Raw genomic sequence first — 17102 nt, 5'->3', positions numbered from 1 at the left:
GCCCGCTAAGTTCTTTCTTTTCTGAATTCCCATTTGTGTCGGTACCATCCAGGGAACCATGGTAGGCCTCTCAGGGTCTTAGGGATTATTTAGGGGTGTCCAATCTTTTCCCTGGGCCACATTAGAAGAAGAATTGTCTTGGACCACACATAAAATGCACTAATACTAATGATAGCTGATGGGCTTAAAAAAGAACGAAAAAAAAAGGCTGGGTGCAGTGGCTCACCCCTATAATCCCAGCACTTTGGGAGGCTGAGGTGGGCGATTGCTTGAGGCCAGGAGTTCCAGACCAGCCTGGCCAACATGGCGAAAACCCGTCTCTACTAAAAATACAAAAATTAGCCAGACGTGGTGGTGGGCGCCATAATCCCAGCTACTCAGGAGGCTCAGGCAGGAGAATTGCTTGAACCCGGGGGAGGCAGAGGTTGCAGTGAGCCAAGATCGCGCCATTGCACTCCAGCCTGGGTGACAGAGCGAGACTCTGTCTCAAAAAATAAAATAAAAAGTGGTAAGCCATAAGAACAGAGTAGAAATCAGTTTGTATGTGAATTTAGTCAAATTGCAGCACATAGCTCTTACCTATAAAACAGAGTACCTAACCCATTAGAATGCAGTGTTGCTGCAACGTATTATCAACAGTATTGTTTTTATCCATCATTACTGCACATGGTAAGAAAACGGAAAGTGAAACCCTTAGGAACTAAGGCAGTCAATAGCACCAGGAGGAACCAGATGTTGGCTTTACCAGACAGCACATTTAAACAGCTATCATGAAATGGTTAAAATGACAAATTTTGTTAGTTTTTTAAACAATTTTTAAAAAGCTATTACAAATATATTCAGACAATGAAAGGGAAATGTGTCAGAATTAAGAGAAAATACAGGGTTAGTGATGCACAGACAGAAAATTTTTTTTTAGTCGAGGTCTTGCTCTGTCACCCAGGCCGGAGTGCAGTGGGTGCCATCACAGCTCACTGCAGCCTTCCCGGGCTCAAGCAATCCTCCCATCTCAGCTTCTGAAGTGGCTGTGACTACAGGCACACTTCGCCACGCTCAGCTCACTTTTTAACTTTTTTATAGAGACAGGGTCTCACTATTTTGCCCAGGCTGGTCTCGAACTCCTAGGCTCAAGTGATCCCATGCTCCCCCTCCCCAACTTCCCAAAGTGCTGGAATTACAGGCATGAGCCACCACACCCAGCCCCAGACAGGAAATCTTTACAGAGAAATGGAAACTACAAAAATGGAAACTCTAAACTGAAAAGCAAAATAGGTGAAAAAATTTTTATTGGCTACATGGTCTCAACATAACATTAGGTACGGCAGTAGAAAGAACCAGTAAACTGAAATATAAATTAGTAGAAATTACCCAATCCAAAAATCATAGAAAAAAATTGAACAGAAATCTCAGTGACTTGTGGGATGATATGAGGTTGTCCAGTATATGTGAAATTGAAATCCAAGAATAGAAAGGAAATACCTAAACATTTGACACAGTAATAGCTAAAAACTTCTCAAATGTGGTGAAAAGCATTCATGTACAGATCTAAGAAGCTTAATAAACCAAGAGCAGGATGAACACAGAGGAAACAACTCCTAGGCCTATCATATTTAAGCTAATGAAAGCCAAAGATAAAGACAAAATCTTGAAAGCACCCAGAGAAAAATGATGTTACATACAGAAGAAAGATAAGATTAAAAGCTGACTTCTCATTAGACAGTATAAATGCTGCATATATTGAAATGACACAAAGTGCTGAAGAAAAAAATACACCGAGAATTTTATATCTAGCAAACTGTCTTTCTGAAATGAAAGTGTCGTAAAGACATTTCCGGGGGAACAAAAATCTGAGAAAATTTGTTACCAGGGGACCTGTATTAAAAGAAATATTAAAGGGGTGGGTGTATGGGGGGAAAAATGCTAAAGGATATACAGGAAGGAATGAAGAGCACTAGAAACAGTAGATATCAATAAGTATAAAATACTAATTTATTTTTTATTTTCTTTCTTGTAATCTCTTTAAAAGACATCAATATTTAAAGTAAAAACAATACTTTATTGATAGGTTTATCATACCTATAGATCTGATATACAACACTATGAGTTGGGGGAGTTAAATGGAAATATATTATTGTAGAGTTCTTTTTCTTTTTTTTTTTCTTTTTTTTTTTTTTTTTTTTGAGACGGAGTCTCTCACTCTTGTCGCCCAGGCTGGAGTGCAGTGGTGTGATCTCAGCTCGCTGCAAGCTCCGCTTCCCAGGTTCACGCCATTCTCCTGCCTCAGCCTGCCGAGTAGCTGGGACTACAGGCGCCCGCCACCACGGCTGGCTAATTTTGTGCATTTTTAGTAGAGACGGGGTTTCACCGTGTTGGCCAGGATGGTCTCGATCTCCTGACCTCGTGATCCACCCGTGTCGGCCTCCCAAAGTGCTGGGATTACAGGTGTGAGCCACCACGCCCGGCCAGCAGAGTTCCTTTTCTAGTGTAACTCAAAATTAACATTTAAGTAGATTGTTGATATAGTTTGGATATTTGTCCCCACCCAAATTTCATGTTGAAATGTAATCCCCAGTGTTGGAGATAGGGTGTAGGGCATGGTGGGAGATGATTAGACCATGGGGGTGGATTTCTTTTTTCCTTTTTTTTTTTGAAGTAGAGTCTAGCTCTTTTGCCAGGCTGGGGTGCAGTGACTCAATCTCAGCTCAGTCCAACCTCCCCCTCCCAGGTTCAAGCAATTCTCCTGAGTCAGCCTCCTGAGTAGCTGGGATTACAGGTGCATGCCACCATGCCCTGCTAAGTTTTGTATTTTTAGTAGAGACAGGGTTTCACCATGTTGGCCAGGCTGGTCTTGAACCCCTGACCTCAGATGACCTGCCTGCCATCTCCTGACCTCATGATCCACCCACCCTGGCTTCCCAAAGTGCTGGGATTACAGGCGTGAGCCACTACGCCCATCCCCAATATCTTTTTTTTTCTTTTTTGAGACAGAGTGTCGCTCTGTTGCCCAGGCCACAGTGCAGTGGTGCAATCTTGGCCCACTGCAACCTCTGCCTCCCGGGTTCAAGTGATTCTCCTGCCTCAGCTTTCCGAGTAGCTGGGACTACAGGTGTGCACCACCACACCCGGCTAATTTTTGTATTTTTAGTAGCAATGGGGTTTCACCATATTGGCCAGGCTGGTCTCGAACTCCTGACCTCGTGATACGCCTGCCTTGGCCTCCCAAAGTCCTGGGATTACAGGCATGAGCCACCGCACCCGACATTCCAATATCTTTTATAAATGCAATATAAATCCAAACATCCTTACCAAAATATTAGTAAATGGCATTTGGTAAGAAGATGATACATCAGGATCAACTGGGATATATCCCAGATATACAAGGTTAAACATTAGAAAATCAATATAATTAATCATATCAACAAAATAAAGAATAAAACCATTTCATCATCTCAATAGATAGAGTAAGCATTTCAGAAAAATCCACCAGCCATTTGTACCAAAAGCTATCACCAAACTAGGAATAAAAGGCAACTTCCTCAACTTGCTGAGGGGTACCTCTGTAAAATCCACAGGTAACATCAACATGTAATGGTGAAAAACCAAATAACTTGCCTCTAAGATTAGTAATACAGTGTGATGTCCTCTTTCATCTTCTGTTGGAGGTCCTAGCTAGTGCAGTAAGGAAAGAAAAAAGAAATAAAAGTACACAGATTGGAAAAGAAGTATAACAATTTGCATTTGACATGATCCTTTTTATAGAACACCTTAAGGAATCTATTTTTAAAAGTTACCAGAACTAATAATTTCCTCTAATAATTTAGCATGGTCACAGGATACAAGGTCAGTATGCAAAAATCAGTAGTTTTTTTGTGAACTAGCAATGAACACTTGAAAGTTGAAATTTGGCCGGGTACGGTGGCTCACACCTGTAATCTCAGTACTCTGGGAGGCCAAGGCGGGTGGATCACAAGGTCAAGAGATCGAGATCATCCTGGCCAACATGGTGAAATCCCGTCTCTACTAAAATACAAAAATTAGCAGGGCGTGGTGGTGCATGCCTGTAATCCCAGCTAATTGGGAGGTTGAGGCAGGAGAATTGCTTGAACCCGGGAGGCGGAGGTTGCGGTGAGTCAAGATCGCGCTACTGCACTCCAGCCTGGTGACAGAACGAGACTCCAGAAAATTGAAATTTAAGATGCAGTTTCATTTACAGTAGTATTTAGAAATACAAAATACTTAGGGATAAATTTAACAAAATATGTGCAAGATCTGTACACTTAAAACTGCAAAGCATTGCTGATCACATTAAATATCAAAATAAATTACTGGGTATATACCCAAAGGACTATAAATCATGCTGCTATAAAGACACATGCACACATATGTTTATTGCGGCACTATTCACAATAGCAAAGACTTGGAACCAACCCAAATGTCCAACAATGATAGACTGGATTAAGAAAATGTGGCACATATACACCATGGAATACTATGCAGCCATAAAAAATGATGAGTTCATGTCCTTTGTAAGGACATGGATGAAATTGGAAATCATCATTCTCAGGAAACTATCGCAAGGACAAAAAACCAAACACCGCATGTTCTCACTCATAGATGGGAATTGAACAATGAGAACACATGGACACAGGAAGGAGAACATCACACTCTGGGGACTGTTGTGGGGTGGGGGAAGGGGGAGGGATAGCATTAGGAGATATACCTAATGCTAAATGACGAGTTAATGGGTGCAGCACACCAGCATGGCACATGTATACATATGTAACTAACCGGCACATTGTGCACATGTACCCTAAAACTTAAAAGTATAATAATAATAAAAAATAAAAAATTAATAAATAAATAAATGGAGAGAGTATGTTCACAGATCAGAAGACTCAATACTGTTAAGACGGCAGTTCTCACAGTTATCTGTGGATCCAGCAGAATCCAAATACAATCTCAGCAGGTTTATTTATTTTTTTTAATTGAAATTGACAAGCTGATTGTGAATTCATATGGCACTGCAAAGTACCTAGAATAGCAAAAGCAATGTTTTAAAAAAGAACACAGGTAGAGTCCTTAAACTACCTTACTTTCAAAACTGCTAGACCTGACTTTGGACCAGACTATTGTGGGTAGTCTCTAAAGCTAAGCAAGACAGTGTGGCATTGGCATAAGACTAGATAGACAGGTAGTGGAACAGAGTACAAAAATAGACCCACACTTACATGGGACTTACTACAATTGATTTTCAACACAAGTACCATGAAAATTCAATGAGGAAAAGGGCGGAGGTTGAGGGTTTTTGTTTGTTTTTTCAGCAAATGGTGCTGAGACAATTGGATAGTCTGATGAGTCAAAATTAACATTTACTCTGACCTCACACCATTCACAAAAATTAAGTCAAAATGGATTGTAGAACTAAATATAAAACAGCTAAAAACTTTGGGGAAAAAAGCATAGGATAAAATCTTGCAACCTTGAGAAAGGCAAAGATCTCTTAGATCCAACACAAAATTCATGGGACGTAAAAGGAAAACTGGTAGATTGGATGTTTACAAAATGAAAAGTCTTTACTCTTTAGAGGACATTAAAACAACAAAACTCAATCCACAGAATGAGAAAAAATATTACTGATACATATATCTGACAATGGACTCACATTTGGAATATATAAAGAACTAGAATTCAATAATAAAAAGGCAAACCTTTAAAAATGGGCAAAAGATTTGAGTAGACACTTCACAAAAATATAGAGGAATGTCAAATAAGCACATGAAAAGATAAGCAACATCATTCATCATCAGAGAAATGCAAATTAAAACCACAATGAGATACTACTATATACTCATTAGAAAGGCTAAAGTATAAAGGTCTGATAATACTAAGTAGTGGTGAGAATGTACAGCAATTGGAATTTTCTTAAAATTCACATAGAATTGTAAAGCAGTTTATTTACTAATGTTTTTTAAATTAAAAATTGACATGAGGTTTTGCTATGTTACCTAGGCTGGTCTCCATCTCCTGGGCTCAAACAATCCTCTTGCCTCTGTCTTCCAAAGTGCTGGGATTATAGGCATGAGCTATGGTGCCAGGGCAAAACAATTTAAGTCAAACATACCTACCGTATGTCTCAGTCATTCCTCTCCTATATATCTACTTAAGAGAAATGAAAACATGTCTACAAAAAGACTTGTACACAAATATTTATAGTAGTTTTATTTGTAATAGCAAAAAACTAAACAACCCCAGTGTCCATCAACAGTTGAATGGATGAATTTTGGCACATCCCTACAATAGAATGCTACCAACCAAAACAAAGAAACCCGAGGGACCACTTATACAACAGCATCAATGGGCTTCAAAATCATGCTGCACGAAAGATGCTGAACACAAAAAGTACATACTGCACAGTTTTATTTATTTAGTAGTTTAGAGAATGGTTAACTCATAGTGACAAAAAGTGGATAATTAGTTACTTAGGGTGGGGTGGAGGGAGGGAGTACTATAAAGGGGCACTAAGAAAATTTGGGGATTGATGGAAATATTCTGTATCTTTGGTGTGATGGTGATTTTACTGGTGTATACATCTTTCATACTTGAACGGTCCAGTTACAGTGGATGCAAATAATTCGTTTCCTTCTCTTCTTTCTTATGCCTAGAGGAGGGTGGGGCATCCGATGGGTATTCCAGGGATTGGTGTTGATTTCATGGGCAGCCCTCTTTATGGCCAGTGCTTTCAGAGGTGGCTTAAAGATGGTCAGGCTAGGTCTTGGGTGGAGAGTCTCTTGCAAAACATCAGGCAAAATCAAGGCCAAAACCAGGCTGTACTTTAAACAAACCTTATAACAGGGGTCCCTAATCTAGTCCTAGTCAGAGAGTCACGGTTGGTGAAAAAATCAACCCAGACGTACAGGGCCGTATGGCCATCAGTAGCATCTCCACAGCTCTGCTTTTTTCTAGCCTGGAACACTGAGGGGTCACAGCAATAATTTCACTTCCTCCTCCGTGCAGAGGACAGGAGACCTCACCATGTATGAACCAGCTGACCAGCATACATTTAGTATGTCCAAATAATGTTGTGAGCAGTGTCAGGCAAGATCTGAACCTGTCTGGGTCAATGAGTGCAGACCTAATGACGATGAGACAGAGTTTCATAGCATACTACCTCACGTGTCATGAAGAGGAATAAAACCTAAGTGATCCATCCTGCATGACACCAAAAGGTAGAGTTATTGAATAAGCTGGTACTGTTCCTTTCAAGAAACCCTCCACAGGTCTTCCAGAAAATGATCCCATGTCCGTGTCCGACCCCCTCAGGTGCCAACCAGAAACTCTTCCTCACTCATGACCATAATTTTTTTTTTTTTTTTTTTTTGGAGACGGAGTCTCACTCTTGTCGCCCAGGCTGGAGTGCAGTGGCATGATCTTGGCTCATTGCAACCTCTGCCTCCCGGGTTCAAGCGATTCTCCTGCCTCAGCCTCCCTAGTAGCTGGGATTATAGGTGCTTGCCACCATACCCGTCTAATTTTTGTATTTTTTTTTTTTTTTTTAGTAGAGACGGGGTTTCGCCATGTTGGCCAAGCTGGTCTCGAGCTCCTGACCTCAGGTGAGCCACCGCACCTGGCCCCGTGACCATAAATTATACCTCATTAAAGGTGTCTTACAGACTTCATGGGAGTAGCAAGTAGTAGATCAGCCATAAAGGAATACTGATTATAATTGATAGTAACCTGTTAAATATATAAAAATCAATGAATCAAAAAACAAAACCAGGCAAAAAGTTATGGGGGAAGCCTGGTCTGCAGGGCTGTACATAAATGTGCGTGTCTCTGGGCCTGGCTGAGCCTGTGGGGACAGCCCCAGGCCATGCGTGGCTTTGGAGGCCTTGAGATGGGGCTCATCTCAATTGAGGTGTGCAGTGAGTATAGGATACACACCCGATTTGGAAGACATAGTGCAAAAAAGAGAATATAAAATGTCAGTATTTCTAACATTGCTTACTTGTTGAAATGTTAATATTTGGATGTATTGGGTTGAAATATACATCTTTTAACATCAGTACTTTTTTTTTTTTTTTTAATGTGGGTATAAGACAATGGAAAATTCCACATGTGGCTCGAGTTACATTTCTGTGGGACAGCACGGTGCTGGTCAGTGATGACCGTCAAAGTGAGATGTCATCCGTGAGGCGCTATGCAGGAAGAGCTCCCGCAGGGCCATACTCAACTTTTAGATATGCCCTGGCGAGAACCGCCACTGAACCCCACTGAAAGTCCAGCCAACCTAAAAAGGGTTAACTTTTATATTATTTATTATCATTTATTATTATTATCATTCAGAGTCTCACTCTGTCGCCCAGGCTGGGGTACAGTGGCGCGATCTCGGCTCACTGCAACCTCCGCCTCCCAGGTTCAAACAATTCTCCTGCCTCAGTCTCCTCAGTAGTTGGGATTACCAGGCATGTGCTACCACACCCAGCTAATTTTTTTTTATTTTTAGTAGAGATGGGTTTCACCATGTTGGCCAGGCTGGTCTTGAACTCCTGACCTCAAGTGATCCCTCCCCCTCAGCCTCCCAAAGTGTCTGGATTACAAGTGTGAGCCACTATGCCCGGCCCATTCCTGTTATTTTTCAAGCTGTTTTTTCTTTTTCTTTTTTTTTTTTTTTTTTTTTTGCACAGCGAGACACTTTAACCTTTCTGGGGAAGGTCTGTAAACTCCCTGGGGGGCCCTTCCCGAGGATGCCTGCTTGTTTTCCAAAGCCCCCTGAGTTGTGTTTTGTTTTGTTTTTTCTTGAGAGGGAGTTTCACTCTTGTTGCCCAGGCTGGAGTGCAATGGTGCGATCTCGTCTCCCTGCTACCTCTGCCTCCTGGGTTCAAGCGATTCTCCTGCCTCAGCCTCCTGAATAGCTGAAATTATAGGCATGCGCCACCATGCCCAGCTAATTTTGTATTTTTAGTAGAGACGGGGTTTCTCCAGGTTGGTCAGGCTGGTCTTGAATTCCCGACCTCAGGTGATCCACGCGGCTCAGCCTCCCAAAGTGCTGGAATTACAGGCGTCAGCCACTGCGCCCGGCCGAGGTTTGTTTTTTTTTTTTTTTTTTTTTTTTTTTTTTTTTTTTTAAAGCCAGTCATAGAAAATGTGTCATTTGGTGGACCTCCCTCCCATCCTTTTGAAATCCTAAGACCTTGCTGTGTTATTGACCATCAATCTCAGACACTGTCTGGGCTCTCCGGCAGCGTGGAGAGTCCTGGCCCCGCCTCGAGAACAGAGGCCAAGGACGGGAAGTGCAGGGGTCCGTGTACTTGCAGTTGGGTTCTATTCTACCCACACGGTGTCTTACAAGTTTTTTAAAAATGTCTTTCCAACTTTTAAGAACCAAGAGCTTTCACACTGAAAATTGGGCCTGGAGAGGGGGCGAGCGCCTGTGGTCCCAGTGTGTCAGGAGACTGAGGCAGGAGGATGGGACGTAGTGAGACCCTATCTCTAAAAAGAAAAAAAAAAAGGAATTAAGAAAATTGGGTTTTTAGCATTCCTAGAAATGTAGAAGCCCTGAGCTGCGTCTCCTGTGTGGGAGCTGGTCCCACTCCCCGGCCTTCGGAGCCCTCGGAGCCCGGAGCCCTCGATGCAGCGCTATGGATGCCGGGAGCGATCTTTGGAAAGGAGTCCCCGGCTCGAGCGACACTGCCCCCCTGGGGCTCTGCAGGTGCATGCAGTGGGATTGCTGGGCTGGACTAGAGGGTGAGGGTGGCTTCCCCCACACCCCCTTTCCTGGCTAATCAGAGAAAATCAAAACACCCTTGCCCAAGCGTCCAGCTGGAGAGTGAAGAAGGGGAGTCTATTGCTTATTTGTATATGATGAAGATTATAGATGTGTTCTAGGAAACATGATTATTTCCTTTAAAGCAGGAAATAATCTGCAAAATCCCTTTATGAACATAATGAGGATCTTTTATTCTCTCGCAGGGTGGATAGCTCTGTTTATACCCACTCCAGTATTATAAAAACACATAAATCCCCACTCTCATATCTAAATTGGCCTTGTGTGTGTTTGCTTCATAGTCCTCATCTCTCTCCCCCTTCAGTATTACATTTCTGTGGCTCAGGCAGTAAACGCGGGATTCCTAAAAGCACTCTGACAATAAACAAAAAGCTTTCCTCTGACTTTGGTACAGTTCATTTGATCTTTTCAAACATTTTGAATGAGGGACAAGGTGTGTTTTGCGTGGTTAGAACAAGGGCCAGTGGGTCCAAGGTCCACCTGGACCAATCTTTGCAGGATACAGGAAGAACCTTCTAACCGTGCAGTACAAAAGTGAGATGTCAGGGATTTTAGGCTTTCGGGGCTAGTGGGGGTTGTGTTTGAGGAACTTGAGGCCATCTAGGTGCATGCATGGCCTTGAGCAATGGTTCTCAGTCCTGACTCAGTACATGCACTTAGGCATATACAGATATTCACACACATGCACACTCACACACACATGCACATACAAATACATGCACACGCACATATGCATACGTCCACACACATAGGCACACATGCATGCACATATTCACACACTTACGTAGTTGCACACATGTACACATGTATGCACACACAGGCATACATACACATCTGTTAGAAGTTCTGATTTAATTGGTCCAGGGTGGATTCTGGGCATTGGTATTTTTCAGAGCTCCTCCACAAGTTTGAGAACCCACGAAAATAGTCTTTTCTCCTATTTCATCTTTCTATTTCACCCAGGGCCCACTATACTTTCAGTTCAGTCACAAAAAAAAAATCAGCTCCTCTAACGAAGAAAGTGTGGAAACAGATAGTCTAAGTAAAGATTTTTGGTTTTTCTCTGTCAGAACAGCTTGAGAAGTCTGAGGAGCTTTCACCCTGTGCTGCTTGGTGACAGAACTGGTCTCTGTGGCACTGTGAAAGGTGCCCTGGGGCTCTGTGAGGGCTACAGTGCATAACTGCAGTGTGGACCCCAGGAGCAGCACTGTTCACAACAGACTGGACCAAGGGCATGCTCTTAGCCTCGCTGTTCTCTGCAGATTCACTTCATTATCTTTAAGCCACACATCAGTGGTTGGGAAGGTGTCCTCAATTCTTCAAAAATTAAGCTGCTGACCATGGGCAGCTTTGAGCAATGCTGACAAGAAACCTGAACGTCTTAACAATGTGAAATTTAAACACACTGGAGTAAGAACTTGGCAAAGGGTTTTGTTTTCTCCAGAAACTTAAACGTGCATATCAGAAATGCCTTTTACAAAGCTTTTTTTTTTTTTTTTTTTTTTTTTTTTTTGAGACAGAGTCTCACTCTGCTGCCCGGGCTCTGGAGTGCAGTGGCACAATCCCAGTTCACTACAACCTCTGCTTCCCAGGTTCAAGCAGCTCTCCTGCCTGAGACTCCTGAATAATTGGGATTACAGGCACGCACCACCACACCCGTCTAATTTTCCTATTTTTAGTAGAGACAGGGTTTCACCATGTTAGCCAGGCTGGTCTTGAACTCCTGACCTCAAGTGATCCACCTGCATCAGCCTCCCAAAGTGCTGGGATTACAGGTGTGAGCCACTGCACCTGACCAAGAAAGCTTTTAATTATGGAAAATGTTTAACATATTCACAAGTAAACAATGAAATAATGAACTCCTAGATACTCACTGACCAGTTTTGACAGTGACCCACACACGGCCTGTCTTGTTTCATCTATAACCCTCCCACCTCTCTTCCTCTCAGACTCTTAAAATAAATCCCAGACAGCATATCAGGAGATGCCTTTTGATTTTTGAAGAATCAAGGACACCTTCCCAACCACGGATGTGTGGCTTAAAGATAATAAAGTGAATTTGGAGAGAAGAGAAGGCTAAGAGTGTGTCCTTGGTCCAGTCTGGCGTGGCTACACTGCATTGTGACGTAGTAGGTGTGCTCATCTGTGCCACATGACAGCAGGGATGGAGGTGCCTTTGGGAGAGAGGCCTGCTTGCATGACGGGGTTGCCTGTTCCATGTAGGGTAGTTGTCAGCTTATGTCCCCACAGCCTTCCTAGTGGAAAAAAGCCATTTTCAACCTTTTAGCCCCTGGACAGTGTCCCTACATGGAGAGAGGCAGACCTGGCCTGGCTGTTTGATGGATGGCAGGAATTCTGACTACATGCAGGCAGTCTGAAGTCCTGTGTTTTAAGCAGGACAACATTTATGGCCATCTAGCTGTACTCGAGAGGAATTAATGTGATTTTTTTCCCTTAACATTTCCTTAGTAAGTAGATGTAAGGTCTTGTAAATTAAAAATGCTATTTTGGTTACAAAAGTTTACTTCCTGGCCTAACTTTCCTGGGTAAATTGCCCTGTGCCTAGAGGCAGTGCGGTGAGGCTTTGGCTTTCTTTCTGGTTGTATTAGGTTGGTGCAAAAGCAATTGAGGTTTTTGTCATTACTTTTAATGGCAAATAATAGGATAATAATAGAATTGTTCGTGCAAGCTCTGAAAGGGGGCGTGTACTTTCAGATATTCACTTGGCTGATGTAGTGGAGAGCTAGACTTGCTCACGTCAGAAGCTCCTTGCTTTGATGAAGAATCTTGCCAGGCTTCCCTATGTCACAGTGGGAATTGGTGTGTTTTCAGGTATATTTTATGTGAACTGACTGACTTTAGGAGCTGTCTAGAAAGGAAAGGATGTACATCCACTCTCCTTCAACCACTTTCGTAAAGTGGGGAGCCATTTGCATGAAAATGTGTTCCCTGTTCTCTAGAAAAGTATGCCAATGAGAAGACAAATGAGTTTAGGGCTTTTTTTTTTTTTTTTTAGATGGAGTCTCACTCCTGTTACGCAGGCTGGGGTGCAGTGGCACGATCTCAGCTCACTGCGAACTCCACCTCCTGGGTTCAAGCAATTCTCCTTCCTCAGCCTCCCGAGTAGCTGGGATTACAGGAGTGCACCACCACCCCCAGCTAATTTTTGTATTTTTAGTAGAGATGGGGTTTTGCCATGTTGGCCAGGCTGGTCTCGAACTCCTGACCTCAGGTGATCCACCCGCTTCGGCCTCCCAAAGTGCTAGGATTACAGGCATGAGCCACCACGCCCAGCCGCCTTTTTTTTTTTTTTTTTTTTGAGAGATTAAAAATAATAACAAATCCAGCTGGATGCGGTGGCTCACACCTATAATCCCAGCACTTTGGGAGGCTGAGGCAGGCAGATCACCTGAGGTCAGGAGTTCGAGACCAGCCTGGCCAACATGGTGAAACCCTGTCTCTACTAAAAATACAAAAATACAAAAAAAAAAAAATTAGCTGGGCGTGGTGGCGTGCACCTGTAGTTCCAGCTACTTGGGAGGCTGAGGCAGGAGAATCGCTTGAACCCGGGAGGCAGAGGTTGCAGTGAGCTGAGATTGCGCCACTGCACTCCAGCGTGGGCTACAAGAGTGAAACTCTGTCTCAAATAATAATAATAATAATAATAATAATAATAATAATAATAATAACAAATCCAAGTGAGAATACAAAGTGATTTAATATGTACAGTTCATTTTTTAAAACCTTTCAGCTGTATGTTGTGACTATATAATAGCTAACATTTACTGGGTGCCTACCAGGTAACAAGCACTGTCTTACGTGCTTAAGATGTATTAAAAATTAGGTACACGGGAGGAAATGGAAATACAGAGTAATTAGGGAACTCCCTTAGACCACATAGGGAGAAAGCAGCTGGTCCAGGATTCAAACTTAGGATGTCTGGTTCCCACGTACAGAGCTACTGGGCCATTTACAGGACAGGGGCGTGAGAGAGTGGCTGCAGAAAAGTAGAAAGGAAAATTAGTCGTAAAGAGGGACTCGGGTCCAGGCACAGTGGCTCACACCTGTAATCCCAGCACTTGGGGAGGCCAAGGCAGGCGGATTATTTGAGGTCGGGAGTTCAAGACCAGCCTGGCCAAAATGGTGAAACCCTTTCTCTACTAAAAATACAAAAATTAGCTGGGCATGGTGCTGCATGCCTATATACTCAGGAGGCTGAAGCAGGAGAATCACTTGAACCCAGGAGGTGGAGGCTGCAGTCAGCCGTGATCGAGCCACTGCACTCCAGACAGGGCGACAAAGCAAGACAACGTGTCAAAAAAAAAAGAGGGACTCTGAGAAAAGAAGGCTCGGAGAGTCTTGGTATGAAACAGCATGTCACTCTCAGGCACCTGGGTGAAGGACATCAGGGAAGCGACCACAGTCTTCCTGGACCTGCTGCGCAAGCAGGGTGTGGTCTGCCAGGGTGGTCCTGCTTGTCCTTTCATCAAAGGCCAGGTGGACCCAGCTGGAGCCAGCCCTTCCCCTTCTGAACTCTAGCTGCCTCATGCAGTACTTTTCATCTGCCCCAGGGCAGAATTTTGTTTTTCCATGTCAACCCTTGTCTCCTCATCTTGCCAGATGGACAGTAGCATGCCCCTCAGTATTGCCACATACCTCGCCCAACACCCACGTCACAAATGTCCTGTGTAGGGTAGTGTGGTCTGTCCCAAGTCTGAAGGAAACTTGCCTTCACTTATTTTCATACAGTATTTTTTAATTAAGTGTTTACTTTCTAAGTGAATTCTAAGTATTTTACACCTGCCTGAAGGAATGCCTTAGGTTTTAGAGACCTCCTTGAACTGTCAGTTTACATGTATTCTACCTAAAAGTCTCAGATCAAAACTAGCCAGTGATCCTACGTGTTACTGAAGCTGAGTGACATTGATTCAGAAGAATGAAACTAAATTGGCCTCACATTTCCCACTTCCATATGGTAGCTTTAAATTTGGAGGATATAAAGAAAACCATGGCACCTAATTGAAGGGATAGTCTCACATTATTAGTATGAAGAAATGAATCAGGCTGGACATGCTGGTTCACGCCTGTAATCCCAGCACTTTAGGAGGCCAAGGCAGGCGGATCACCTGAGGTCAGGAGTTCAAGACCAGTCTGGCCAACATGGTGAAACCCCATCTCTAGTAAAAATATAAAAATTAGTTGGGTGTGGTGGTGGGCGCCTGTAATTCTAGCTACTTGGGAGGCTGAAGCAGGAGAATCACTTGAACCCCGGAGACGGAGGTTGCAGTGAGCTGAGATGGTGCCACTAACCCCAGCCTGGGTGACAGAGTGAGACTCCATCTCAAAAACAAAAAAAAAAAAAGAAAGAAATGAGTCATCTTTTGAAGGGAAGGCACTGGTTGCTGATGACACCCAAGCATTTTTTAGTGAAGTGGTTTTCAGACTACACAGTAAGATCCTTGAGTAGATCAAATAATCAGTTTTGTGGGTTGCACATAACAATGTAAAGAATCATCCAGGTGTGGTGGCTCATGCCTGTAATCCCTGTACCTTGAGAGGCCGAGGCTGGTGGATCGCTTGAGGCCAGGAGTTTGAGACCAGCCTGGGTAACATAGCAAGACCCCATTTCTACAAAAATTAAAAACAAAAAAAAGAAAAAGGATTGCATCACCTCTATGTAAGGGAAGTGTTTTTATGAAATTGTGAGTCATAGTACAAAAGAAAAAAACTACCAAACATCAGTAAAACACAGCTCTAGATAGAATGCTAACTTTTTCTGCACAGTTGGATGATTAATGGCTATCGTCCGTTTTATTTCACTGTGCTGGCTGCCATTCAAGTGCCAGGCGCTTTGTTCATGGCTGGTCACCTCCAGTAACCACCACTGGGATGCTTCCCAGTCCTTAGAAATCTGGGTAAGAAGCACTAATGAAGATGAATTTGTTTCCGGTTCTGCCATATTTTCCTCTGTGGGAGTTGTTATGAATGTTTTTTTCTCATAAGTGATTTGATGCTGTAATCCCTCTTATGTCTGAGAACAGATGCATGGCCATGGATCGGGCAAGTTGGTTTTACTTATCTTTGGGGAACCGGACTTAACAACAGGAACAAGGTAGGCAGTTAAGGACTCTGCCGTGATAAAGAGAGTTAGTTCAGGTGTTGTGTGGAGTTTTATTAGTGAGAGGTTTTCTGATGAATTTCACAGTGGGAAATTAACAAATCAGTTGCCTGCCCTTGGTTTGGAAAAGCACTTGGTTTTTGCTCTGGGTTGCCTGAGAGGCTGCTCTTGGCGCCTTGGTATTTGCAGCAGAGAGCTGCTGTTTCCTGGGGGTTGGCTGGGGTGAAGTGTAAGAAATTTCATATCAAGTCTCTTAGAGAGCTTTCTGGCCGTTTTTAAAGGAATGAACTGGCTGAGCATGGTGGTTCATACCTGTAATTCCAGCACTTTGGGAGGCCGAGGCAGGCAGATCACTTGAGGTCAGCAGTTTGAGACCAGCTTGGCCAACATAGTGAAACCCTGTCTCTACTAAAAATACAAAAATTAGGCATGGTGGTATGTACCTATAATCCCAGTTACTCAGGAGGCTGAGGCAGGAGAATTGCTTGAACCTGGGAGGCTGAGGTTGCAGTGAGCCGAGATCACGCCACTGTACTGAGCCTGGGTGACAGAGCAAGAGTCTGTCTCAAAAAAAATAAAAATAGGCCGGGTACGCTGTCTCATGCCTGTAATCCCAGCACTTTGGGAGGCCAAGGTAGGTGAATCACCTGAAGTCAGGAGTTCAAGACCAGCCTGGCCAACATGGTGAAACCCCGTCTCTACAAAAATAAAAATTAGCTGGGCATGATGGCGAGTGCCTATAATCTCAGCTACTCGGGAGACTGAGGTGAGAGAATCGCTTGAACCCAGGAGGCGGAGGTTGCAGTGAGCCGAGATCATACCACTGCACTCCAGCCTGAGTGACAGAGTGAGAGTCTGTCTCAAAAAAATAGGCCAAGCGTGGTGGTTCACGCCTGTAATCCCAACACTTTGGGAGGCCGAGGTGGGCAAATCACCTGAGGTCAGGAGTTCAAGACCAGCCTGACCAACATGGTGAAACCCCATGTCTACAAAAATACAAAAATTAGCTGGGCATGATGCTGGGTGCCCATAATCCCAGCTACTCGGGAGGCTGAGACGAGAGAATCGCTTGAACCTGGGAGGCGGAGGTTGCAGTTAGCAGAGGTCGCGCCATTGCACTCCAGCCTGGGTGACAGAGTGAGACTCCGTCTCAAAAATAAATAAATAAATAAAATGAGGGATGAACTGATATAAAGAGGT

At 43.5% G+C, this 17102-nt stretch overlaps 1 protein-coding gene across 7 annotated transcripts in view, besides 1 other annotated feature; it reads left to right on the top strand.

Annotated features, from left to right (window-relative positions):
• LATS2 (large tumor suppressor kinase 2) overlaps positions 1 to 17102 on the top strand; it is an 88551-nt gene that overhangs the window by 28815 nt on the left and 42634 nt on the right. Inside the window, exon 1 of one of the 7 annotated variants that reach the window (XM_011535042.3) lies at positions 9546 to 9709. The exons of the other annotated variants lie outside the window; for them this stretch is intronic. Coding sequence (XP_011533344.1) covers positions 9629 to 9709 — 81 coding nt within the window. The 5' untranslated portion in view covers positions 9546 to 9628. Of the gene's footprint in view, positions 1 to 9545; positions 9710 to 17102 lie in introns of those variants that run through there. 7 annotated transcript variants of the gene reach the window in all.
• Positions 15069 to 15208: an enhancer, noted in NCBI's record as "active region_7428". NCBI's record gives its function as "activates an Ori minimal core promoter by ATAC-STARR-seq in GM12878 lymphoblastoid cells {active_cell/tissue: GM12878}" and the evidence as "EXISTENCE:reporter gene assay evidence [ECO:0000049][PMID:35858748]".

Source organism: Homo sapiens, chromosome 13, assembly GCF_000001405.40.
Source record: "Homo sapiens chromosome 13, GRCh38.p14 Primary Assembly".
In the NCBI taxonomy this organism is placed as follows: Eukaryota; Metazoa; Chordata; class Mammalia; order Primates; family Hominidae; genus Homo; species Homo sapiens.
Note: the sequence above shows the minus strand (reverse complement) of the source record. Positions and strands in the feature narration are given on the sequence as shown.